This window comes from Homo sapiens, chromosome 4 (assembly GCF_000001405.40).
Source record: "Homo sapiens chromosome 4, GRCh38.p14 Primary Assembly".
Lineage (NCBI taxonomy): Eukaryota > Metazoa > Chordata > Mammalia > Primates > Hominidae > Homo > Homo sapiens.
The window spans coordinates 168,650,152-168,677,080 of NC_000004.12; the positions used below are offsets into that span (position 1 = coordinate 168,650,152).

The 26,929-nt window shown below is 39.5% G+C and overlaps 1 protein-coding gene and 1 long non-coding RNA gene across 18 annotated transcripts in view; one reads left to right on the forward strand and one right to left on the reverse strand.

Moving 5' to 3' along the window:
- On the reverse strand, nt 1-26,821 carry LOC124900808 (uncharacterized). The gene is made up of 3 exons (XR_007058360.1): nt 26,757-26,821; nt 19,510-19,584; nt 1-20 (listed from the first exon to the last, which is right to left on the reverse strand). It is a non-coding gene; the product is annotated as an uncharacterized LOC124900808 (long non-coding RNA).
- The window catches only part of PALLD (palladin, cytoskeletal associated protein), a 431,390-nt gene that overhangs the window by 153,100 nt on the left and 251,361 nt on the right, over nt 1-26,929 (forward strand). For 14 of the 17 annotated variants that reach the window (XM_011531768.3, XM_011531769.3, XM_011531771.3 and 11 more), the window contains one exon: nt 18,039-18,217. In XM_011531768.3, the coding sequence (XP_011530070.1) occupies nt 18,039-18,217 (179 nt within the window). Of the gene's footprint in view, nt 1-4,549; nt 4,662-18,038; nt 18,218-26,929 lie in introns of those variants that run through there. The other 3 variants (XM_011531775.2, XM_047449865.1, XM_047449866.1) reach the window with 1 other exon arrangement.

The window sequence follows — 26,929 nt, forward strand, 5'->3', positions numbered from 1 at the left end:
CGACGAGAGTGAGACTCCATCTGAAAGAAAAGAAAAGAAAAAAAAGAAAAAGAAAAGAGAAAGATTTATATTTGCTTGCAGTGAAAATAAATGCAGAATTTTCCACAGTGAAAAGTTAAAGTTTTTCTCTAACTTCTTCCCTCAGCCTCTGTCCCTCCTCTCAAGATAAGTTACAACCCTCCAAAAATATATTGTTCAGTGAAACCACGATGGTATAGAATAGAAGTCTACAGTTAGTCTACGATGTGTTGTTGACAGCTGCGTCTAACATTCTTTTTAAAGATTGCATAGTATTTCATTATGCAGGATACCATAATGGCCGTTTCCTTTTTGATGGACATTTAGGCCAAGTTTTCCTTTGTGAAAAGTGCTGAAATGAACATTCTTGTCTTTCCTGTGTCTTTGTGTCCTTTTGTGAGTAAATTAAGCACAACTTCTTAGAAATGAAACTGCTGGGTCAATTGTATATGTATCCTAAATTTTGTCAAATTCTTTTTTTAACAGCTTACACCAAATTATATTCCCACATTGGTTATAGCAATTTTCAATATTATGAGTTTTGGCTTGTATTTTAAATATCTTCATTTTCCTTTTAGATGTTCACATAGCTCCCAACTGGAAAACTGTACCCATACCCTGCCACCATCTCCACCAAGAACCCTCTTGCCCTATGCATATCATATGTGTATAACAGTATTACCAAGTATAATAGTACTTTCTGAATATCCCTTTCTTTCCTCCTTTATGTAAAATATGTACAATCTGATGATATTATTTGCTAAATACATAAATGTATTTACAGATGGCTTTCTAAAGACTAAGTGATATAATCCAAACTTTAGAAAATCAGATTTTGCTCACAAGGGGTTTGGAAAGTGCCTTTTCAGGATCGTAATTAAACTTAGCTAATTGTAATTCCAAGATTGATGCAAGAAGGCAAAAGGTTCAAGAATGAAGTCAATTTTTCCTGAGGTTAGGACTAAATCTGTAAATTCTGGTTATATGAATCGCTAAAGAATTATTGCGCAGGGATCAATAAATCACTTCTAAAGCAGTGTTAGAAGGCTGTTCCACCTCCTCAGTATACTAGTTATTAGGCTCAAGAGTGTTGGGCAAACTGGTTCTTTTAGCTTTTAACATTGCAGTAAATGGCTTGGCAACAGATTTAACATTTTCTTTGTAACATCCAAGGTTAGCTCTTTTTTTTTCCTTAAGATCTGGAATGTTCCCAACACAAAGAAATGATAAATGTTTGAGGTGAGGGACATTCCAGTCACTCTAACTGGATCACTACCTGTCACAAACATGCATCAAAGTAACACTTACACCCTAGAAGTGTGAACAGTCACCATGTATCAATTAAACAAACAAAAAAGCCCAGCCCGACCTTGGACCAATTAAAACAGAATCTCTGAAGATGGAACTCTTTTTTTTTCCCCCCCGCAAGGTTAGCTCTTTAGTCACTGGCCAGAAAACCTCTAATCCCAGCAGAATTTTAGAGCTATTAAGTACTTTAGTTCTTAGCCACTTAGAAATCACAATGACATAATGATGCTTTACAAGAAGAAGAGGTAGGGGAGGAGGGAAGAATTTCTACTCCTCCTCCTCAGTGACATGAGAGTAAAGAAGAAAAATGAGAGGTTATAACCATGAATATCTGCATGTTATGTTTACTTGAACAAAAATGCAAATTTTATCTCTTATTGAAAAGAATTGTTTTTGAACAAAAGTGAATAGCTAAAAATAGTGATTCTGTACAACCAACTGAGGGACTGGTTTTCCTTTAGTTTTTTTGTATTTGTTTGTTTGCTTTGTTTTTGTTTTGGCTTCTCAACACTGAGCATAGCTGGTGGGGCAGAGGCAGATTCAACACTCCACACCCTCTCAGGAGGGTAGGCTCTGAGGGTTAAAATGTTGAGGGGCAGATGTCGCTTGTGAAGCGTCACATACCGCGTGACCATGGCAGAGAGTTCCTTGAGCAGTGAAAAGCACTTTCCTTTCCCAACAGATAGTCTTATGTGTGCACCAATCCCAAGCAGAAATCATGATTTTCTTTACTCTATAGGTGATAAGCATGAGATTCTTCCCCAAGAAGAATGCTGAAAAATCAGAAAGGATATAAAAATGGAGGAAGGGGTGGGATATTCAGGAAACTACCAAAATATGTACATGTGAAAATAAATTTCATGAAACTGATTCTTTGGTTAAATAGCGTTTTAAAAATCTCTTCAAAGCTCTCAAATGGGCCTTTGAAAAATTAAATTACACCACATTGGATCTGAATTTAGCATGTAATTTTCTAACACATTTTTATTTTTTTATTTTTTATATGTTTTTAATTATACTTTAAGTTCTAGGGTACATGTGCACAACGTGCAGGTTAACACAAACATTTTAAAGTTAGAGGTTCTACGTCAATGAAATAAGGCTAAAACATGAACCTTGGGAAGAAACATTGGAAACTTTAGTACAAAGGAAGTTACGAATGAATATGATTAAGTTTAGAAAGCTTTCCTAGGAGAGGAAATGTGAGATGTTGATTCAGGTTTTCGTTCAAAGAATGAAAGCATTATTTAAAATATATTTTGTGATGCAAACAGGGAAACATCATAGTATTTTTGTGTGTGTGTGCTGAATCTAAGCTCCATTTTACAGCTAGTGTGTCCCCAATAAACCATCCTAATTAGAAAGCCCCTGGAAATCTCCAGCATTATCTTAATTAAATTAGCCTAATCTAATAAATGCATCATAATTAAGAGGACTGTGCCATTCTTTAGTGTTCAGCACACCAGGCATTAGATGATTTGTCCCACTTTCAGCCGTCAGTTGTCATGCTTGCTAAAAGAAAAGAAAAATGATAGCACCAGTCATCGTAGTCCCTCAAGGAATCATCCATCTAGTTCTTGAATTTTCTTTACAACACCTCTGTCAATTATTTCTTCCTCTTCAGAGCATCTAGTGACAGGGAACTCACTAAGCCATTTTGATCTATTTCATCTTTGAACATATGGAATAATTTTAGCCATAAGAAACCTCAGGGAATTTTTTTTAATTCCTTCAACATAGACCTAACATAGTACCCAGACAACTATTTTTACGTCCAATTTCAAACAACCTGGAAAAACAGCGGATCAGTGGAACACTAAAGGCTATAGGGAGACTATGATCATTCTTGCCCAAAGGAATTGCAAAAAGGCAGGTGTGTAAATAGTATTTACATATAGGATGGACCTCTCCACCTTTTTCTAGTACAGATTAATTTTTAATTTTCCCAACATCTATAAATTGCCAGAATGGTAAGGTAGTGGGGAAACACTTTCTCACAATGTACACAGACTTGAAAGCTGTTGACCTGTCCTCCTTATGACAGACAGTTCTTGGCAACCCCAAGGAGAGATATGGCTGAGGCAGAAATCACATTATCTAGCTCTTCGGCTATACACATATTGGGCTCTGATAATTAGAACATTGATCCACAAGACAACCTTTGAGTATGCTGTTCTTTTCCTTCACAGCAAACACGTATAGTCATTATCGTTTGCTTGTTTGTTTGTTTGTTTCTTTCTTTCTTTCTTTTTTGAGACAGAGTCTCATCTGGAGACTCCCAGGCTGGAGTGCAGCTCACTGCAACCTCTGCCTCCCGGGTTCACGCCATTCTCCTGCCTCAGCCTTCTGAGTAGCTGGGACTACAGGCACCCGCCACCATGCCCAGCTAATTTTTCGTATTTTTAGTAGAGACAGGGTTTCACCATGTTAGCCAGGATGGTCTCGATCTCCTGACCTCATGATCCGCCCACCTCGACCTCCCAAAGTGCTGAGATTACAGGCATGAGATCAGTTATTTTTTTTTTAAGACACAGAGTCTCACTGTGTTGCCCAGGCTGGCTTCAAACTCCTGGGCTCAAGCAATCCTTCAACCTCAGCCTTCTAAGTAGCTGGGACTACACATGGCTCATCAGTGATAATTTTAAACACAAAAATACACATTTTTATTTGCTTATGCAAACAAAGGAACGATTATAATTTCCTGCAACTAGTAAATATCATATGCTAAATCCTTTTTTTCTAATTCCACCTCTTCCCCACCACACCATGTAATAGCTTTAGAGTTGTTTTTTTTGGGGAGGAGGGAAGGGGTGTTATGTGTATTTTTTTGTCTTTTGCCAAGTCTCTAAGTGCCTCTGAAGCCAATTTTTAAAAGTTGTGCATTGTGAGATCACAGTTGCTTTAGGGCATACAGGATATAAGCACAAAATGATGGACTGTAGCCAGGTAGTGAGGCTCTAATTGTGTCAGAAAGAAGAACATTTTCATCATGACATAACGAAAACTGTATTTTTCAAAGAAAAAGATCTAAATCTGTATCAAGTGATAACATTAGTTTTCCTACTTTTAAAAACAAAATCTAGTCTATTATTAATAGAATGAAATGTCAGCCTTAGGCAATTTGCTGTGAAAAACCAACTGAAATGAAACATGGCATTTTATTCGTTATTCAAATGGCCAAATAAAACAAGGTGTAATTAGTCCTGACTTCCTGTTCTTGCTCACACACCTGAGGCCCCTCCCCGCTCTGCTGCAGCTCTGCATAACCAGGCTCTCAGGGGAAGCAGTGGAGGCAGCCTTCTTGGACAACAGCTCACTTGTCTACACAGTCAAAAGTATGTATTTGATCAAAATGGTTGGGAGGAGGACAGGTGTTACTTAGAGAATTACCTGTGTAACTAGAACAAGAAAAGGAGGCAGCATTTGCAGAATGTTTGCAAATCTTTCAGGAACTTGATTCAAGGAGTGTGTCAGATGTTAAATCCAGGCATATATGTATATGGCTACTTGTGTGTGTGTGTGTGTGTGTAATAGTGTAATTTCACTTTTTTAAAAAATGAAGACATTCACAATTTTAGCCAGAATAGTTGGTGCAAGGTCCATAAGTGCTACCTGCTAAGAATATAATTCCTTCTACCTCTAATGTTTCATTATCAAATTAAAAGAGTTCTCTCCTCAGTGGATACTTCATTTATCATAGCTCTCCTTGGAAAGCTGACCTCTAAACATGAACTTCTAGAAGGAACACAGAATAAGAACAAGGGAAAAGCATTCGGGAAGGAGGGTGGCTTTGAAAGGAGTTAGCTGGGAAAACCCTTGAAAAAGAAAGTGAATCCATTTCTGTACATACAATTATTGACTGACGGGGCAGTTTACAGTTTTAAGTTCGTGTGCACTCATGCCCTGTTTGAGATGCCTGTTTTGTGGTTCCTCAGAGACCACACTAGCCACATTTGAACACCATTAGATTAGACTAGAGCCAGGACTCTGCAAAGGGAGGCTCTTCCTCAGCCTCTGACAGAATCACCACCAAATCTGGCTGTCCTCCTTGCCCTGAGCAATTGAACTTGGCTCTGTGGAGGGAGCCTCAACCAACTGAAGCATCATTTGGAGAACAGATGAAAAATAAAGAAGCGAAGCCTTTTGAATTCTAAAGTTTTAGCTTTTTCCAAAAGTAAGGCATTTTCCTCTCATTCTCAATCTCTTCTTCCATTCAGTTTTCTCCTCCCATATTCTTAGTCGTGATTACATAGATTAAGGCAAGGAACTGGGGGTTTCACTAATGAACTCGGGGAAATTTTGAGGGACATCTCCTGTCCTTTGACTTTGGGGAAAGTTCTTCCATTGCTAAGGAAAAAAGTTGTATTGGATGTAATTGTTTGTTAAATGCAAAGAACTAACTGCTGGGCATTCTAGGAGTCCGTACATGAACTGTTTTACGTGGGTTTCTGCAATTCCATAGAGTCGAAGACACCAATAGGAGCTGTGGCCCCTTTGCCTAGTTTGACTTTAGTCCTTTGGAGTTTCATAATTCTGAGGGGATCATTGTATTTCAGTGGACAGGTTCCAAATGCACAGAAGACTGACAGCATTGTCTGATAAAGCATCTCCCATTTTATCCCATTTGGAATGTAATCCAAGTTACAACAATAGCTAATAATTACCTGCTGTAATTGTAGCAACAGAATAGCTGAATGTGCACCTCTAGCTGATTTATGTATGCAATTTCTCATTCTCAGCTCTCTATAATCCATTCTCCACCCCCCCACCCCCCACCCCCAACGCTTTGGAGCCTTGAAAGCATTCAATACAAATTTTCACAATGTAGGTAACTTTGAAGTGTGGCTTGTCAGGTCATGCTGACTTATTTTTGTACTTGCATAGGGAATTGGTGAGGATGAATCTATTTTTTTAGCTAACAAGTGTAACTTGAGAATTTGTGAATGAGTGACAGATGGGGTGGGAACCTTTTTTTCCTTCACGTATTGTGAAATGTACTCCTGTCTACTCATGGGAATGAGTCACATTTGCAAAAAGCCATAATATTCATTAGTGCCAAAACGACATTTTTTAGTTGCTCTTGCAATGAGCTGTAAGTAGGACAACTGCCCATCCTAGTTTACCCGAAACAGTTATTATTTATTCCTATAATTATCAATGGTTACCTATTTATTTCATCCTCAGAAATGTCCCGGCTTGGGCAATATATGTTTACCCTGCATATCCAGATTGTGGGGGGAAATCCAGTATTTTCATGTGCCATGCCCAAATGGCAGCTTATTTAAAAAAACAGAAAATTCTTGGAATTAACGGTCAAGGATACGTGAGAGATTAGAAATCAACATTTCACATTAATTCCTGTGTAAGAAAATTATACGTAAACATAGACTGTTAAAACAGGCATAGCAAATATGTTTCAACTCAGGGGCCAACACTAATTGGTTGGTAGTGGCTGCCCCTAGCATCACTGGAGAAGGACTCTGAAACCGAGTTGGGGATCAATGGGATATAGGGCTTGCCGTATTACTGATGTCTGCCATAAGCTCTGGAAAAGCTAGTTGTAAAATGTATGCTAGGTATTAAATGTCACCACCATAGAGCCAGATGAGGTTTTAGTGATAATCCAACCCAGTGTTTTCAAAATGTGTTCCCAGAACACTGATCCTTCAACATGATTCACAGAACACATGTTCCATGGTCCAGTAAGATTGAGAATGATGCCTGCCATATTTCTCTCTCAGAAATTCAGTGTATATTGGCACAGAGCTCTAAAAAGTTCTGTTTAACTTTCTGACAGATGTTTAACTTTGTTTAACCCAGTGCTTGGTAAACCTATTTGGCCACAGAAACCTTTTCAATGTTATCTGTCAACTTGCTACAGAACTAGTTTCTTGGTACACATTTGAGGAAACTCTAGTCTTAGCCCATTCCTTGCATTTCACGAATAAGGAAACTATAACCCCAAATGAGAGACTGACTGGACCACAGTCAACTTAGTTGATCTATGGACCAGGCAAAACTGGAACTCAGTGATATAAGAGTTAAGAAGAAATTATTTAGGCAGATAGTGAGGGTATAGGAGTCCTTGGTAAGGTTTTCCTTTTAATGAAAAGCAGCCCCAAAATTATACTAACGAGCAGCCTGTAAAATTGAGCTGCAGACACAGACAAGCAAGCGGGAAGCTTGCATGGGTGAATGCCAGCAGTTGTGCCAATAGGAACAGGCACCTGAGACTAGGCATGTTCAAAATGGCAGCTCCACCTTCCCTTTTCTTTGCCAGCCACATGTACAGTAAGGAGCAGATGACATGGGCTAGCCAAGTGGAAAGCCCATTTGCATAATAAGATTAGGGTGGGGTGGCCAGCCTTCCCAAAACGTCACACCTGGTCCAACCAATCTGTGGGCCCTACGTAAATCGGACACCACCACCTCAAACCTGCCTATAAAATCCAGTGCACTCCCATTCGGGAGCCCCTCTGTCTCAAAAAAAGAGAGAGAGCTGTTCTCCTTTATCTTTCTTTCGCCTATTAAACCTTTGCTTCTAAACCCACTCCTTGTGTGTGTCCATGTCCTTCATCTTTTTGGTGCAAAACAACGACGAACCCCAGGTATTTACCCCAGACAATGAGGCTGCTTCATCAGAACTGCTGACTCCAAGTCCTAGGTCCTTTCCACTGCATCAACAATGAGGAAAATATTAGAAGCAATCTAAGATTTTAATAGCTTCTGGCAGCACAGATATTTAGTAGATTTCACTTATCTATTTTTATAGGTTTTGGTTTTTTGTTGGTGGTGGGTTTTTATTTGGTTTTTTTTTTTTTTTTTGTGATGAGATCTTGCTTTGTCACTCAGGCTAGAGTGCAGTGGCACAATCATAGCTCACTGCTGCCTCGAATTCCTGGGCTCAAGTGATCCTCCCACCTCAGCCTCCTGAGTACCTGGGACTACTGACACGTGCCACCATGCCCAGTTAGTTTTCAAATTTTTTTTGTAGAGACAGGGTCTTGTCATCTTGCCCAGACTGGTCTCTAACTCCTGGGCTGAAGTGATCCTTCCACCTTGGCCTCCTAAAGTGCTGGGATTATAGGCGTGAGCCACCATGCCCAGCCTGTATTTGTTTTTAAAAGATGGTAAATAAATATCTGTATATTCCTAGTGTCAGACACTAAGCTACCTCTCATGGTCAAAAAGAAAAAAAAAAGGCAAGATAAAATCATTTTTGTAGTTGAGTTTTATCTGGGCTGGTCCATCCTTCTATTTTATCCTTTTTCCTTAGGAGATAAAGTGGTTATTTGAGGAAAGACTTGCTAGACATGAATCTGGTTTTGGTTCAAATTCTATTTTATTATTTCCTGGGCTTTGAATTTCAAAAAGCCAATCTATTTATTGGTCTCTTTGGGGCCATAAGGTTAAAGTACATCTGTTGTCCACACAAATTTAGCTATTGGCCTTCGAGCTAAGCAGTCATGAAATTATAGCCATAGTAAATTTAGACAACGATTAATTTCACTTCGGTCTGCCTATAAGTCCACATGACAGAATAAACATAGTGTGTCATGTGGTTAATGTGAACACATGTAAAAAATTAAGAAATCTTTGGTGACCAGACAAAAAATACTCCATAAAAATTAATTAGTGTTTCATTGTGGATGTATGAAATGCAATACTTATAGATGGCCTGACTTGGAGCTTAGGCAGCAACAAAACTTATCTTGGGCATCACTTTCAAATTTCGTTTTGGTGGTTCTCCAGTTCGTGGCAGACCACTGCCATTCCTTTGAGGAAAAGGAACACCTGGAAAATATAACCATTGCTGAAGCACTTATCTCTCTGGGGTTTTTTCCTACCCTTTATTTTCATTATTATACCATTACAGAAACTGGTTGCTTCAGTTTTCTTCAAGTATGGACTTCATGAAGCCATGTGGTTGCATGTGCTTTGGGAGGAGGAGGCAGCTGGGGGCTAAATTTGCCATCCTGAAATCACCCGTGACATCCCTTTGAAGATACATTTTGTCAGGAAGCACAAATCAGTGAAGTTGTGAGGAAGAAATGGAGAGACATCTTTCAACATAACCTTGTTTCCCCTTGAGCATAAAGGAATTGATTTAAAGGAGAAAATAAAGACTCAACAGTTTTTAAAGGCTTTTATTTAATAAGCACCTGATTGTTTCCATTAACTGGCTTTTAACATTTACCATTTTGCTTAGCAAAGTTGGAGAACATTAGCCAAGATTCACTGATGAAACTTTATAAGCGTTATAAGTCAGATTTGTTTCATTTTAAAAGCCACATGTTTAAAATACAGTGCACAGAGAATTTTCATGATACGTAGTTGTGGTTCAATAAAATAAAGATAGCCAAAAGAAACTGTCACTCATAAAATCTATATTTCCTGCTAAGTGTTAGTATTAAAATAGATACTGCTAGTCAACTTGTAAGCCAAGCAATGCCATATGTGATTTTTTAACATAAGCTATTTGTAGTCTATACTAGAAAGTGTATCTTAGACTTTGCAGTGATTTGTTGGTTCCTTTCATTAATCATGAATTTATTATCATAAAAATCAACACCCATGACCCTATCTTGGAGAATCGGAGTGTTCTGAGCATTCCCAGATGTGTACTGCAGCTCCAGTATACAGTTCAGAGCCCCACTGCCAGTTGCCAGGATCACAAGAGAAAGATATTAGTAGACCACGTCAGGGAGGTGAATTTTTAAATGTTCTTACACCACCCAAGAATGGAAGTGACTGGTGGTTTTCAAGGACAGCCATTTGGTCTGAAGCAGCTGCAGCCCCTTGATTTTAATTATCCTCCTGACCCTTTGATCCCTAACCAAAAAGGCCCTAGGACTGTGGACAGATGCAGCCACTCTCCTTTAACAACTGGACTCAGACCAAGTCAGCAGTCACATTTAACCTCACCTTGAAATGTAGAAAGTGAACAATTACATATTGAACATTTTCATGTAAAACATCTTCTTGAATTTCAATCCAGCCACATCCTGCTAGTGCGATAATGTGATCCTTGAATTTTTGGCACCATCTAATTTTTAAGCTGGAATGTTTGGAAAATCCTTACGGGGAGGGAGGAATCATTATGCAACAACAACAATACACACACACACACACATATGTATGTGTACGTATACATATTTATAAAAAACAATTTCAAAATCCCAGCACAGAATAGTATAAAGAAATATGCCATCTTACAGAACTATAATGTTACAATCCTTTTTCCTTTTATGTACTATAATCCTTTATGAACAAGGAAAATTCAATACTGGAGAATATTATCTCCTCTCCAACAAATTGACTTCAACTTGAGTATTATATCCAAAGAAACTTAATCTGTAAGTATGAAGCTATACCCAACTTTGAAAGATTTTTGAAGCAGTACAAGTTTCTTTCTTCTTCCTCTTTTTTTTTTTTCCTTTTTTTTGAGACAGAGTCTCGCTCTGTCACCCAGGCTGGAGTGCAGTGGCACGATCTTGACTCACTGCAACCTTCACCTCCCGGGTTCACGCCATTCTCCTGCCTCAGCCTCCTGAGTAGCTGGGACTACAGGCATGCACCACCATGCCCGGCTAATTTTTGTATTTTTAGTAGAGACGGGGTTTCACCATGCTGGCCAGGCTGGTCTTGCTTGAACTCCTGACCTTGTGATCTGCCCGCCTCGGCCTCCCAAAGTGCTGGGATTACAGGCTTGAGCCACCATGCCTGGTGCAATACAGGTTTCTATGTGATGGAAAAATCTAAGCTCATTAGGTAAAATATAGTCATTGTATTTCCTTATGTCTACAATTGGATTTTCTTCTCCGTTAGCCCCTGCTACTAGTCTCATGAACTAAGAAACCTGGCTTAGCTGACATCTATGCTTCCAGTCGATTCCTGCATTGCGGTTGAAGTGAAAAAAGCCCCTTGATGAATGAATGAATAATTGATTGATGAATGAATGAATGAATGAGTATGACTAGATCTTCTAATCCTTTTACATTTTATTTCCAATTAGTACAAGGTAATTTTCATACGCTGTTTATGGTCTTGAAATCTGACAGCCAGTCCCAACTGGTTTATTCTTATATTAGCAACTTAATTCTTTTGAAGGGGCATGTACCATGCCCACTAATTTTGCAAGGTTTGGCTCTCCAGTTTCCCTCAGCTCCTTGTTTGTGTGGCAATTACATAGCTATTTAACAGCTGCACTAGAAATTAAAGAGGAAGAATCAGTAGGCTTTGTTAAAACATGTGTCTATCCATAGATACATGTTTTGATGAAAGATGAAAGCCAAAAGCATTAAGGAAAATGAAATTTTGGAGACTACGTGGTTTTTATTGTTTGTGTTCTTATTTTTAATTGCTATAGATAAATGAGAGTTGCTGTATCTAAAAATATAATGACAACTACTTCACAAGGTACTTGTGAAAATAAAATAAGGTCATATTTGCATATAATATGCATTCAATAAATATTCTCTTTCCCTTAATTTGAATTTTTATAAGTCCTTAAGAATTGTCATTGTTCCCAAATATTGTATGATCTTTCCATCCTAATTATGAGATCATAATTACATATTTTTATGATTTTATGGCAGAAAATAAAAAATGTGATTGAAGTTGAAATTTATCAGAAGTTCAGAATGGGAATGTAGATAATAAGATTTTAATTTTTTGATATGCTACCCAGATACTATTCACTAGATAAAAGGCTTCCAGGTATTCAAAATGGAATGAATAAATGTCCGAGGGGGTTCTCAAGTCAAATTTTACTTGAGTGGATTCTCTCTTAGCCACATTCCACCCACACTCCTCTCTCAATCAAAACCCCTCTCCACTCTTAGCCCATAGCAATTAAACAGGGCTTTCAGGATCTGGAGGAAAGTGAGAATGTATCCCCTAGAAAGAGATCAAATTGAGGATGGCAAATGTGTTTCATTTCAGCCTTCAACTTTAGTTGCTTTGTAGCCTTAAACAGCTGTGCTGAGGATTCTCAGACATTCTGTCTCACTAGCAAAGAACATTCTGATGAGTGAGTGATGTCTGCCACAGGAAGAAGGGGGATAGTGTCCTTGCCTGTGCCATGCATTTACCAAACCTATACTTCATCCTATTTTGTATGTTTCACTGTTTAGCTTGTCACCCTAGTATCTCTTTCCCTAAATGATACCAGCAACAAGAATTTAATGTGAGAGAAATTTCAAGAGGTCAAAATTTAACCAACAGATCTCCTCCCATTTACCTCTTTAGAGAATAGTAAATGTTTTGAGTTCTTTGCCAGGAAGCTGGTGGAATTATGACCTTTGAGAAACTGAACTAAACAAACATGACTGTAGCACACCCATCTCGTCCAATGTGTGGTGCCAAACTTCAAAACTCTAAGATTCTGTTAGTTTAGACAAGAAGGTGATGCATCTTTAATCAGCTACATGAAGAGTGGATGAGGCAGATTTCCTTTTCTCATATATGCACTAACTAGATTATTTTCAGTTTAATTTTATGCTTTTTAAATGCACTTCAGTTTGAGTTGGTGAAAGTCTATAAGCCTCTCTCCATATATATTTTAAAGCACAAACTGTGGCCGATATTAAACTATTTGTTCAGTCCTTTCTTCATCTGTAAGCATATTCTTCTTTGATAAGCTCAATGGCAATGTGCCCTGTTTGAAAATGTAGGTTTGACTGCTATTCGGATGTGGTGAGGTCAACAGATTAGGAGATGACTGTCATTGGAAAGATACTAAATAGTTTGTTATTCATAGTTCCCAAGAGGAGGGGGCATGCCACACCACAGGGGACTGCAGGGGACGTGCCAGGGTCAGTCAGAAGGCCAAGGAGCAAGGGGGAAATGTGGACAGGTGCCTTTGCCTAGGAACCCACAGGAAAGGGATAGGTGAGGCAAGGTACGCAGGGTTAGAACTGCCTGTTTTGAGTAATTCCAGTGGGTTCTCAAGCACAGGGGCTGTTTCTGGTTGTCTGGTATCTGGCCCTGGGTTGATGTGGGGAGGGAAGTTGTGGCCCTGAGTATGAGAGCCCAATAGAGGGGGTGCAGAGTGTGTGGGCTCTGGACTGGTTAGTTTGCATATGGAGGGCATGCTCCCAGGAGGGTCTTTAACACCTCTAGGAACTGGCTAACCCTGGGATGGGCAGTCCCTGCAGGGTCAGCAATGTCCTAGATGCAAAATTGAATGCATGCAAAATTATGTTCTTTTTGTATGTTTCTCTCTGTACTCAAAAATAATTAACCTCATTCATTTGATAATTGATCATTTGTCCCTTTCTGATATCGTCTGTATTGTTTCCTCATGCCATTATTTGATATCAAATGTATTTATGCCAATTTCCCCAACTAGAAATCAACTACTTCTTGATTGTTTAAAAAAAATGCAATTTTTAACTTTTAAAATTGATCCATAGAGTATTGAACATAGTTGATGCTTTAAAATATTTATTATCAGCCCCACATTACTTTAGAACATGCATCCGATGAAATAACAAATAGTGAAGAAATCTGTGCTCTAATAGATTTGTAAAATGCTACATACATATTACATCTCCCTCCTTGATGTTTGCAATTCACATTTCCTTATTTAAGGCCCTGGGAAGGCCTGCAGCAAAGAAATTTGTTTAACGTTGTCTCAATCCAGCCATTTACTAAACTTATTTGACCATGAAATTTTTTCTCATTGAGTACCTGCTAACAACCCGTGAATATGTTGCAGAATGCTTTTCTGTACTGTTTCTTCCATGGAATTTGTACTTTAAAAAAATAAATTAAGACTGATTATAAACTGAGTGATGATGAGTTTAAGGCTAAAGAAAATAATCAGTAAGTGCTATAAAGTGCTTGAAATATACCTTAATACTGGCAGAAAAGTTAAGACAATGAATGCATTTTCTGCCTCAGTCTAACTCATCTATTTAGTCATCTGAAATGGCTCATTATGTAATAAAACTCTTCAGCAACCGCATATGGCAAAATGATTGGTGCTTGTAAACCACTAGGCTGACCTGTTTTTGCTTTTTAAATATGCATGTTTTTTGTTCTCCACCTCAGTGAATAAAATTGAAACAGCATCTCAGATTGTAATACATAGGAGAAATAATGCAGAGAAAAGAATAAATTTGCCCAGTAAGGTATAAGTAAAATAATTAGCATGAGCCATGCATATTGCTTTCAGGGAAAGCAACTGACAGCCAGGGAAAGTCAGTTATTGACGTAAGTGCCTGTCAAGTCACCAGTTCTATGTTGTTAAAATGTGGTAAGTTAGGGTGTGACCCAAGAGGAGGAGGAAAAAAAAAAAAAAAAAACCCTGCAAATATTTTGATGGCAGGCTCTCCCTAAAAACAAAAAGGGCAGCATAGTTTCTGGCCAGTATTTAGATCAGTGTGTGTTTGATCTATGATTGGAATCATTTGCTCAATGGAACTAGCAATGGCAGAGCAAAGAGGCTCAACTGTGACTTTAGGAAAGTCATTGAGCCTTCCAGTTCAGGTTCCTCATCTGTATGAAGAGACAAAATGTCAAGGGTTTTTTGTTAAATGGAAGAGTGTATTTTTAATGATTGTGTTAAAAAATATTTCACAAAATGATGTAGAAAATTCTTTGATGAAGGGTGCAAGTAATTAATGGCTTAGCTTACTTGGAATATACTAGGATACAATCATGTTTCTGAGATCACAGGCCCACACTGGACCTTTAAATGTATTGATGGATTTGGCACCTTGTCTTTATCACAACCATGGTACTTAACTTTCCATGTTATACTGAAATTAGCTCTTGATGGGCCTTTCTATCCTATTGGAATGTAAGTTTTTCCAGGGTAGAGGCCTGGTCTTATATTAACTTACTCTCTAGGTTCTAGCACAATGTTTGGCATATGAATGTATTAAGCATGCCTTTTAATTTTCAGTGTCTCTGCTGCTTTGGCATGCGAGGGACCAGAGGTACAATATACATTTTTAAAAAATGGTTGCTTGGGAGGTTGAGGCAGGAGAATGGCATGAACCCGGGAGGCGGAGCTTGCAGTGAGCTGAGATCGCGCCACTGCACTCCAGCCTGGGCGAGACAGCGAGACTCCATCTCAAAAACAAACAAAAAAAATGGTTGCTATGTGAAACAAGTGAGCAACCTGGATGGAAAGCCAAGACTCTGTGAGGCGGGTCATTCTGGTCCAGAACTTATCAGACCAACACTTCTTAAAGTGCACATGATCACCTAGGGGATCTGAACTGATTCAGTAGATTTGGGGTGAGGGTCAAGATACTGCACTTCTAACAAGCTTCCAGGTGATGCTGATGCTGCTGGCCTCAGGACCACACTTTGAGGAGCAAAAAGCAGGAGTGGGGAATCATTTTCTATAAAGATCCAGATACTACATAATTGGGGCTTTGAGGGCCATATAATATGTTGCAACTACTACTTGACTCTGACTATAATGCAAAAGCAGACATAGACAACATGTAAATGAATGAGCATGGTTATGTTCCCCGCCCCCCACCAAAAAAAAAAAACCTTATTTAAGGACTCCGAAATGTGAACTTTATGTCACAAAATACTCTTCTTCTTTTGATTTTTTTCAAACCCTTAAAAGTATAAAAACCATTCTTAGCTCAAGGACCTTATAAAAACAGGCAGTAGGCTTGCAGGCTATAAGTTCACTGAGTTAGAGGACAACATACTAGTCACTTAGGTAGTTGGCAAATGTTTCCCTGTGGAGTACATCTAACCAAAAGAAACGAATCCTTCTCTCTATGGAACCTCTGTTGCATTTTTTTATGCTTCATTTTCCCCCAGTAGGTGGTTTATATCTTTTTTATGGAATGTAGAAACACTCTAATTCACAGACAGACTCAACTAGTTTCAGAGTTTAGCAGGCGTTATTTTTTCTATTACCTGTAGTAGGTAATGCAGTTCCTCACACATAGAAGAAGCTCTGTTAGTGTATATTCAGTTTATTTTAGTCTGTTGAAGATGCCTTTAGCTTGGTCTTAAGGAAGAATAGTTCCTAGATGGGATTAATGAACAGGGTAAGGAGATAATTCCAAGGAGAAGAAAATGTGGGCACAGAAAAGTAGGCAGGTAATATTTGAGGGCTATGTAAGGAGCAGTAAGTCCATGCAAATATTCGACAGAAACAGAGGATTAGTATAAGAAAACGATAGGGCCAAGTTATATGAAAACCCACAGTGACAGATCTGAAGTTTAGAGAATGATGTATGTAGGGAAAAACCTCAAGGGCATTAATCTGATGACAGAATATAGAAAGAATTTATAGTCTGCTGGTGATGGAGAGACCAATTAAAACACTAAAGCCACAGTTAATACTGATGGGTGAGGATCTGGACTGTGGCTTTGGAAAGATAACAGAAAAAAAAGAAAGAGACTGGAGGATGACTCTGGGCTGGAAAGTTCTTCAAGACTTTATGACAACAAAGAAAACCATACAGTGCCCCAGAATCAAGAAATACTGTCCTGCTCCGTTGCCCCCAAAATAATATGGTTTGCATTGCATAGAATGCTCAGTTGGCTGATTATTGTATGTTCTTTAATTCCCCAGGTCTTATCTCTTCTTTGGTGGGAATCACATATTTACTGTTGAGCATGGTTTCTGGGGTTGATACTCAGAGTATTAGCAAACTCATTTGCTTTATTAACTTTATTTTCAAATTAAATTAGACAAAAACCTGTATTATTCTACTCTAAATACAGAAAAAACATGTCTTCCGTGTCATATTTCACAAAAGGATGTGAAATCCAAGTAATTTTATAGGAAACTGGACTTAGAGAAAATCTCTAAGTGCTCATTAAGAGCTAAATGGACAATATTTTCCCAGAGAATTCAATCCTTTTAGTTCTAAGTGGCAGATTTCTACATATTTCTTTAAAAATAAATCCCATTTGGGGTTTTTTTAGGGCAGCTTTGGGCTTTGTTTTGTTTTGTTTGTATGTTTGTTTCTTGGTAAAATGTAAAGGCCACCAAATGCTACTGAGAATTTGAGGTGCTGGGGGAAGAGAGGAGAGAGAGTGAGAGAACCTGTGTTCAAACAGTCTGGCAGCCTGAAATTTCCCACACGAAGGACCTGATTGTTTGGGAAAGGAAAAGTGCTGACGAGCAAGAATGAATTACAGCACAACTGCTATATCTCTCCACATCTTGGAGGCCAAGGCGGTCTGCTAGAAAGTTTTGTAAATATCAGAAATGTGGAAGGCATTAAATCTGTTACTGCTCAGCTGATCAGAAGTCTTAAGGTCAACAAAAATATTGCTGCCTGTGATTTTTTAACATGATGATAAGTTTCTTTTCATATATTAAATATTTTGAGCATAATGTTTATATTTTCTATTTTTCTTTAGATAAGACTAATAGATAAAATTGTAATAAATGGAGGAGGTATTTGTTATAAAGCATTTTATAAGACACTGAGTTTCTGTTCCTTTTATAACTGAAATGGTCTTTCTGAGTTTGATAGCATCACTTGGGTTGATAAAATGTACAAGATGCTTTACAAAGAAAACCTGTGGGAATTGTCTAGTCATTAATTTCACAGTCTAAATTGTAGAGTTTCCATTAGTAACACTGACATTGTTTTTTTTTTAATCAAACAAACATCATTTTGCATAGCAACCAGCCTTCACTTCTGCTTTATTGTTTTAAACATCACCATTTCCTTTCTTTCCCTCCTATCCTTTGACCTCCATTTGGCCTGCAGATGGTTCTGTGAAGGGAAAGAACTGCACAACACTCCTGATATTCAAATCCACTGTGAGGGAGGGGACCTCCATACCCTGATCATAGCAGAGGCCTTTGAGGACGACACAGGTCGCTACACCTGTTTGGCTACGAATCCCAGCGGCTCAGACACAACATCTGCTGAGGTGTTCATTGAAGGTAAGGAGGGGTGCCTGGTAATGGGGGATAAAGGGGTGTCAATGGTCTAATGACTCCAGTATCTTGGGCATGCAAATGTGCCTTTCCAATGCAAATGGCACAATGGTGTTCTAATTCAAACTTCATTTCCCTGAAAACCTTTATAAATTGAACTGTTCCGACATTTAGGCACCCATCAACTATCTCTGATGTCAACATTTGTTCCTTTTAATGTAGAATGTTTCCACTCCATTAACTTGAATTATTTAAAATGTAAGGTATCCAAATTATTTTTGTCTTTCTCTAGTAAATGAAGCATAGAAACACAATTGAAATACCATATCAAGCAAAGTTAAACGATAAATGACTCAGGAAATCATTCATGAGAATTTTAAGTGATTGAATACTTTTTAATGTTCTCATTTTTACTAAATTCTAGAATTTTGTCTCTTTTGTTAAGACCCCATTATTCCTTCTAAATGTATTATAAACTTGCAATCACTAGGTGAGAATATTCAAGAATCAATGTTGTATTAAAGAGGGGTACGCAGAGAATGGGCTATTTCTGTTGTTCTGTTCATTTTTGACAGGATTCAGTCTCCAGGGAGTTGAAAAACTTGATATCAAAGTATTATATTTTACATTTTTATTGTGTTTTGATCAATACCAATAATTTAGAATAGTTGGAAGTGTTTTAAGCACTGTAGTGTATATACTATTCCTAAATCCATAAATTGATGAGTGCTCTGTTAATTGGTTGCTTTCAAAATAATGGTTAAAATATAGAAAGAATATTAAAATCCTTGAGGTCTGTACTTTTTTAAACTATTTAATAGCACCAATATCTCCATTATGTGGAGGTGAAGAAGGCAAGATGTGAGCCACCATTTATAGCTCCTTCAAGAACTGGCCCACAATAATTAGCTTTAAAAGTAGGGCCAGGTGAGGTAGCTCATGCCTGTAATCCCAGCACTTTGGGAGCCCGAGGCAGGAGGATCGCTCGAGGCCAGGAGTTTGAGACCAGACTGGGCAACATACTGAGACCCTGTCTCAAAAAACAAAACAAAACAAAACAAAAAAACACTTTTTTAAAGTTAGCCTGGCCTGGTGGCGTGTACTTGTACTCCCAGCTATTCAGGAGGCTGAGGAGGTAAGGAGGGAGGATTGCTTGAGCCCATGAGGTCAAGGTTACATTGAGTTATGATGATACCACTGCCCTCCAGCCTGGAAGACAAAGCAAGACCCCATCTCTTAAAAAAAGAGAAAAATTTAAAAATAAAAAGTAACGATTACTGATGACTAAAAGTATGTACCTTTACTTTCAGTGAAAGGATCCTCCACATTACCTTTGGTAGAAAACATCTTGGAGTGCCTCAAGGGACCTTGTCCTATTAATAAAAACAAACATTCTATATGTAGTAACAACTAATACTTACATGACACTTACAAAATGCACACACACACACACACACACACAATCATTTATACTTTGCCGTAGCCTACGAGGTATTATTAGTGTTCCTTTTTTATAACTGAGGCCTGGAGAGGTAGAAGAAACTTGTTCAAAGTCACACAATAATTTGAACCAAGACAGTCTTGCTCCAGGGCCCATATTAACCACCCTATCATACTGATAGGTATTTCAAAATGCTGCATGAATGAAAAATGAATGATAAAAAGATGTTTAAAATTTCACTAATGAGTTAGCAGTATTATTCAGGGGTGGGTTATGTAGCAAACTTCTTAAGCCATCTTAGAATACAGTGAAGGAAACAAACTTCCATAAAAATCCTGTCTGCTAATGATGATCAGATGTGTCTCCAAGTTCAGATAGAGCACTTTTAAATGAAATTCTTTATTTGCTTGCAAGATTGCTAGAAATATGATAAATTTTGGGTTGTGCTGCTTTCATACTACAAATATTAAATGAAATCATATTAGATTTAAGTAAAAGCCTGTCAACTTAATTTAACCAACATTTATTAAGATCCTACTAAGTGCCACACAGTGCAGGTATAAATGTGGTTAAGAGACAATTCCTGATATCAAGGAGTTCTCAATCTAACAGCAGATAAACACATTTTTTTAAAAAAAGCCGGGCGCGGGCCGGGCGCGGTGGCTCACGCCTGTAATCCCAGCACTTTGGGAGGCCGAGGCGGGTGGATCATGAGGTCAGGAGATCGAGACCATCCTGGCTGACAAGGTGAAACCCCGTCTCTACTAAAAATACAAAAAATTAGCCGGGCGCGGTGGCGGGCGCCTGTAGTCCCAGCTACTCGGGAGGCTGAGGCAGGAGAATTGCGTGAACCCGGGAAGCGGAGCTTGCAGTGAGCCGAGATTGCGCCACTGCAGTCCGCAGTCTGGCCTGGGCGACAGAGCGAGACTCCGTCTCAAAAAAACAAAAAAAACAAAAAAAACAAAAAAAAACAAAAAAAAAAAAACAAAAAAAACAAAAAAGCTGGGTGCAATGGCTCACACCTGTAATCCCAGCACTTTGGGAGGCCAAGGAGGAGATCAAGATCAGCCTGGCCAACATGGTAAAACCCCATCTCTACTAAAAATACAAAAATTAGCCAGGCATGATGGCAGGCAGCTGTAGTCCCAGCTACCCAGGAGACTGAGATCATGCCACTGCACTCCAGCCTGGGCAACAGAGCGAGGCTCAGTCTCAAAAAAAAGAAAAAAAAAATGTAAAATGATAAAGTAATATTATAATAAGTGGTATAAGAGAAATCGAAAGCATTTTAAGAACTTATAAAAGTTAAATGCATGATATATAAGATATATATAAAATCATATATATACTATAAAATGAGATATTTCACTGCCTCTTGAAACCAGCTGCAGAATCCAACTGGGATAGACCCAAACTCTCACCATACTGATCTTTAACTTTTAATGTGGTTCTTCTGTGTAAAAGCCTCTGAACTGCCAGTCCTCTTTTGCCAGTCCTTTCAAATCATCTGCCTCAGGTACTGAATATGAGAAAAGTATCCCTCTAGTTCTATATGGTACGTATCTTTCATGTTCGGGACTTCAACAGAGATAGTGGATTTCTTCCAGTGCCCAGCTTTCCATGTGACACTGCTGAACTTACTGAGACATCCGACACCTTTGGGTACCTCTGACTATAGATAGATCGTATGTGACTTTAGATAAATTGAAGGGAGAGTAAGGAAACTGGACATAGCAAGAATGAAGAGGTGTGAAGATTCAGTCTGCTAAGCCTAACATAAAGTGCTTTAGAAAACTGGCTCCTTGGCCTTGTGAAATATGAATAATTTTTTAAAAAACAAAAGATTTTAGTGTTTTAATCCCTAAGAACAGTTATGTGAAGTGGGAGAGAACCTCAGATAAATTCTTAGCCTCAACTTATGACTCAAAGTAAGAAATTTTTATATTTTACTTATTCTAGCACTAAATTAGACTCACCCATATTCCTATTGAATTGCTTCCTGAAGCATGTTATTACTACATCAGCTGTCGTTGGCAGCCTATCTATCAGAGGGTAGAAAGGTTTCTTTTTGAAATTAAAATCTCAGCAAAGCCATCTCTAAAAGTTTAACAACCTACAAATTAGAAACTTTCTAAATTCCACTGTCCCATGCGTCAAGTTTTAGAATGATACAAAAGAAATTACAGCTTAAGAACAGTGGCTAGCATTCATTTAGTGTCACCTAGGAGCCAAGCACTGTTCTTCATTTTTACAGAGATCACCTCATTTCATCCTCACAAATATCACACCATTTAAAATTTTCTTATTTTTTTAAATTGACAAATAATAATTGTACACATTCGTGGGGTATGTGGTTATGCTTTGATACATATTACGTATAGTGATCAGATCAGGGTAATTAGCATATCCATCATCTCAAACATTTATCATTTGTTTGTGTTGAGAACACTCAATATCCTCCTTCTAGCTACTTAAGACCATATAAGGTATTATTGTTAACTATAGTCATCCTGTAGTGGTATGGAACATTAGAACGTATTCCTCTTACACTTTTAGCTGTAATTTTGTATCCTTTGACAGTCTCTTCCCATTCCCCCCTTCTCCTTCCCCTTTCCAGCCCCTATTAGCCCCTGTTCTGCTTTTTTACTTCTGAGATTAACTTTTTTTTTTTTTGAGACGGAGTCTCGCTCTGTCACCCAGGCTGGAGTGCAGTGGCGCGATCTTGGCTCACTGCAAGCTCTGCCTTCCGGGTTCACGCCATTCTCCTGCCTCAGCCTCCCGAGTAGCTGGGACTACAGGCGCCTGCCACCACGCCCGTCTAATTTTTTGTATTTTTAGTAGAGATGGGGTTTCGCCGTGTTAGCCAGGATGGTCTTGATCTCCTGACCTCGTCATCCACCCGCCTCGGCCTCCCAAAGTGCTGGGATTACAGGCGTGAGCCACCTCGCCCGGCCAAGATGAACTTTTTTAACAGCAAGTTAAGCACCGCATGTTCTCACTCATATGTGAAAACTAAAAATCACCCTATTTTATAGTTGAAGAAACTGAAGTTTTAAAAGGCTAAGTAATGACCAAGATCACACATATACACACAGCACACACACATGCCTGGGAGTCAAGGATTCAAACCTAGGCAGTGTGACTCCTGAATCTGCCCTCTACCCTACAGCATAAAATCCAAATAAACTCATCATCACTGGGGCAGCTACAGTTCCTTGCCTTCATCAGGCAACAGGATTTTGGATCTGAGCACAGCATTTTTCAGGGCATATAATTGAGCACTTTTCGGTCATTCTCAAGAATACAGTGAGTGACTACTGTAAGGGAGGCCGTGGTTCACCCTCGAGACACACAGCAGCGAACAAGCAGGCCTCTGCCATCACTGCACGAACACTCCAGAAGGGGGGCAGAGTAACCCAGTAAACTCATAAGGCATTCCAGCAGCAGCAAGTGCTGTGAAAGAAATGAAGGTGGCTGATGGGATGCGGTGATCAGGAAGCCTGCTCCAAAGAGATGACATTTGGTCTCCGATAGGAGCCTGAGAAGGAGCCAGTAGGGAAGGCTGGGGAAAGAGTGCTCCGGACCAAGGGAACAAATGCCCTGGTGAGGACAGCCAGATGTGCCTAAGTTGCAGGAAGAAGTCCAGGGTAACTGGAACATCAGGTGGAAGAGTTAGCTCAGAGGCTTGGGCCGCAGCCGGGGTATGCCGGACACAGGGCCTATAGTCACCGTTAGTTTGGCTAAATAAAATTGAAAATCATGGAGGGTTTAAACTGATTCATATTTTCTAACTGACTCTCTGGTTGGTAGAAGCCTATTGCAGCAGGACAGAGGAGAGATGCGGGTGCCTCAGGAGGATATGGCGGAGATGAGGGAGTGAGTCAGATTCGAGTTGGGTTCAGAGGCAGGTCCAAAACCCTGCAGTGGTTCCATGTGGAGGCGAGGGGAGGAAAGGAATCAGGGATGACTCTGTGGATTCAGCTATACCGTTTGTGAGGACAACGGTGCCAATCTCTGAAATGAGGAAGACGGAAAAGGAATAGGATTGGAGACAGAAGGAATTAAGTGCTGTCTTTTGAACGTGCTGTGTGTGTGTGTGTGTGTGTGTGTGTGTCTGTGTGTGTATTTGGAGATGGAGTCTCGCTCTGTCACTCAGGCTGGAGTGTAATGCCGCGATCTCGGCTCACTGCAACCTCCACCTCCTGGGTTCAAGTGATTCTTTTGCCTCAGCCTCCCAAATAGCTGGGACTACAGTCACGAGCCACCATGCCCGGCTAATTTTTGTATTTTTAGTAAAGATGGGGTTTTGCCATGGTGGCCAGGCTGGTCTCAAACTCCTGACCTCAAGTGATCCGCCCACCTTGGCCTCCCAAAGTGCTAGAATTACAGGCATGAGCCACTGCGTCCAGCCTGAACATGCTGTGTTTGAAATCTCTATTTAGCTAGCCATGTGGATGTGTCAGGCCGGTAGTTGCAAATATAAACATAGATGTCTAGAGCACAGGGTGAGAATGCTGTATTTGGGGAGCATCAGGATATAGATGGTAACTAAAGCTGTGGGACTGGATACACCTCCAGACAGATCAGCTAGGGAGGAAGAGGGAATGGGGACGAGGAAGGGATCTGAATCTGAGCCTGGGATACTCCTGCCTGTTGAAAGAGGAGTTGCCAGCAAACAAGATAAGAAAGAAAAGCCCCCAGGGTGTGAGAGAAACCAGGCAGAATGCTGTAAGGGAAGGCAAGAGAAAGAGTTTCCAGAAGACAGGGCTGCAAGATGTGTCTGCTGCTGCTGAGAGCTCCAATCAGATGCGGGCCAGGAGAAAACCACTGGGGTCAGCAACAGTGGATGTTGTCAGCGATTTTAGCAAGAGGAGCTTGAGGAATCTGAACAGGGTTAAAGATCAAATGGTACTGGTTGAGAAAAGTTTGTGAAATATGGAAAGAGAAGCAGCAAATAACATACTTGTTGGAGAAGTTTGGCTTAACTGCCAACTAAGAGATAGGAGCTGGTATCTGGAATGGAGCATGGGGTCAAAAAGATGGTTTTTACAATGTGTGTGTTTTCAGGCAGGATTTACTAGAATATAGGCTGAAGAAGATAGTGCAAGAGAGAAAAATAGATCATGCAGGAGGGAGGAGAGTAAGATGGGGAAAGGAAATGGAATCTGTACTAGATGGCGAGAGGGTACCCTCAAGAACTAGCTGGCAGAGAGAGCTTCTCAAGAATTTCCTATGTAAATAGGAAAGATCCATGTAAACATGTAAAATAAATACAGACATCTCAAGTTCCCACCACTGCCTCCCCCTGTGATTGTAAAATGAATTACACAGACTGTCAAATGAATAGCTTTATGAGCTCCGAAGAGGGCAAGATGGTGGCCCTGAAATGTGGGATGAAGGAAGCTGGATTAAACCGGACCTTGTGGATAAAGAGGATTGGGGTCAGGAGGAGAGGAGGGCAGGGCAGCGTTAAAAAGGTAGGGAAGAGAACCAGCGTGACACAGATTGGCAGGTCCTGTTAGACACAGGTTCTCAGTGCTACGAATAATCAGATAAAATGTGTGCCCCTTTGAAGTGACATTGTGAAGCGTGCTGTGATGTGAAATGTGGAATTGTTCCTGGTAATCACATAGGGTAAAGCCCTTGGTGCTGGGACCACTGCCGTGCCTCTCTAGGCAGAGATTCCATTCACTGGGTTTTGAAAACTTTTGGAGAAAAGCTAAACCAGTTTAACTTTGGCCATTCTTCGTGTTATCTATTTTAAAATAACCTTTCATGGTATTTTATGATGGCTCTATGCTTTGGTTTCTTCATCTGGAGAAAATCAGATTGTTGTAAGGGTTGAGTGGGTTAATCCACTGGGGTGGTGCCTAGCACACAGTGTAGGCCATTATTATTTTTAAATACCATATTTTTATTTTTAAAAAGCTAAAATGTACGGATAAAAAGAAGATATAAAAATCATGTCTAGGCCAGGCATGGTGGCTCATGCCTATAATCCCAGCACTTTGGGAGGCTGAGGCAGAAAAATCACTTAGTCCAGAAGTTCAAGACCAGCTGGAGCAACATAGTGAGACCCCCATCTCTATAAAAAATAAAAAAAATAGCCAGGCATGGTGGTGCACACCTGTAGTCCCAGCTACTTGGAAGGCTGAGGTGGGAGGGTCACTTGAGCCCAGCAGGTCAAGGCAGAAGTAGCTGGGATGGCACCACCGCACTCCAGCTTGGGTGACAGAGTGAGACCCTGTCTCAAAAAATAAAAATAAAAAAGCATGTCTAATCCTAGTGCCTTATGACAGTCACTCTTAATATTTTTATCTTTCCAATTTTTTCCTACATGTGAGTACTTAAATTTTGCTGTATCTACTCTTTTGAACTTTTTTTTTTAATTTAACCTATTCTGTCACAGACATCTACCCATGTCATTAAACGTTCTTTAAAACCATTCTAATTCCTTTGTAGTTGTTCAACATTTATAAAGTTATGTGTCACTGACATTGCTTCGGTTACTCTGATCTGTAAATGATTCTTGCTGTATTGGTAATTATAGCAACTGATTTAAAAGAGAGGAAAAGAAGTAAATAATAGAAATGAGAGAAAGGATGTATTTATTCCTCAAATCTTGAAAGGCAAAATATGTATAAAAGGATAAACTCCATGACTCAGTTCAGTAAAGTCAGTTAGAGATTTAAAACATATCTATATAATATATATTATGTTTATTTTATTTTTATATGTTTATATATTTTACTTATATGTATTAATTATATATATTTAAAAAAAAATTTTTTTTTTGAAAAGTCTCGCTCTGTCGCTCTGTTGCCCAGGATGGAGTGTGGTGGCGTGATCTCGGCTCACTGCAAGCTCCACCTCCTGGGTTCACACCATTCTCCTGCCTCAGCCTCCCAAGTAGCTGGGACTACCATGCCCATCTAATTTTTTTTTTTTTGTAGTTTTAGTAGAGATGGGGTTTCACCGTGTTAGCCAGGATGGTCTCGATCTCCTGACCTTGTGATCCGCCCACCTCGGCCTCCCAAAGTGCTGGGATTACAGGTGTGAGCCACCGCGCCCAGCCAGTAGGTTTTTAAAATGAAAAGGGAGCACCTTTTAAAGTCAAGGCAGGAGACTCATTTTTGTGACATTTCCACTGGCCAAAGCCTGGAGCAGGATCGTCGGCGTGTGATTCCTTCACTCTGCGTGGGAGGCAGAATAGGAAAAGTTAAGGTTTAGGCAGGTAACTGTTAGGTGAACAGATGATAGTAACTACAAGGGCTAGA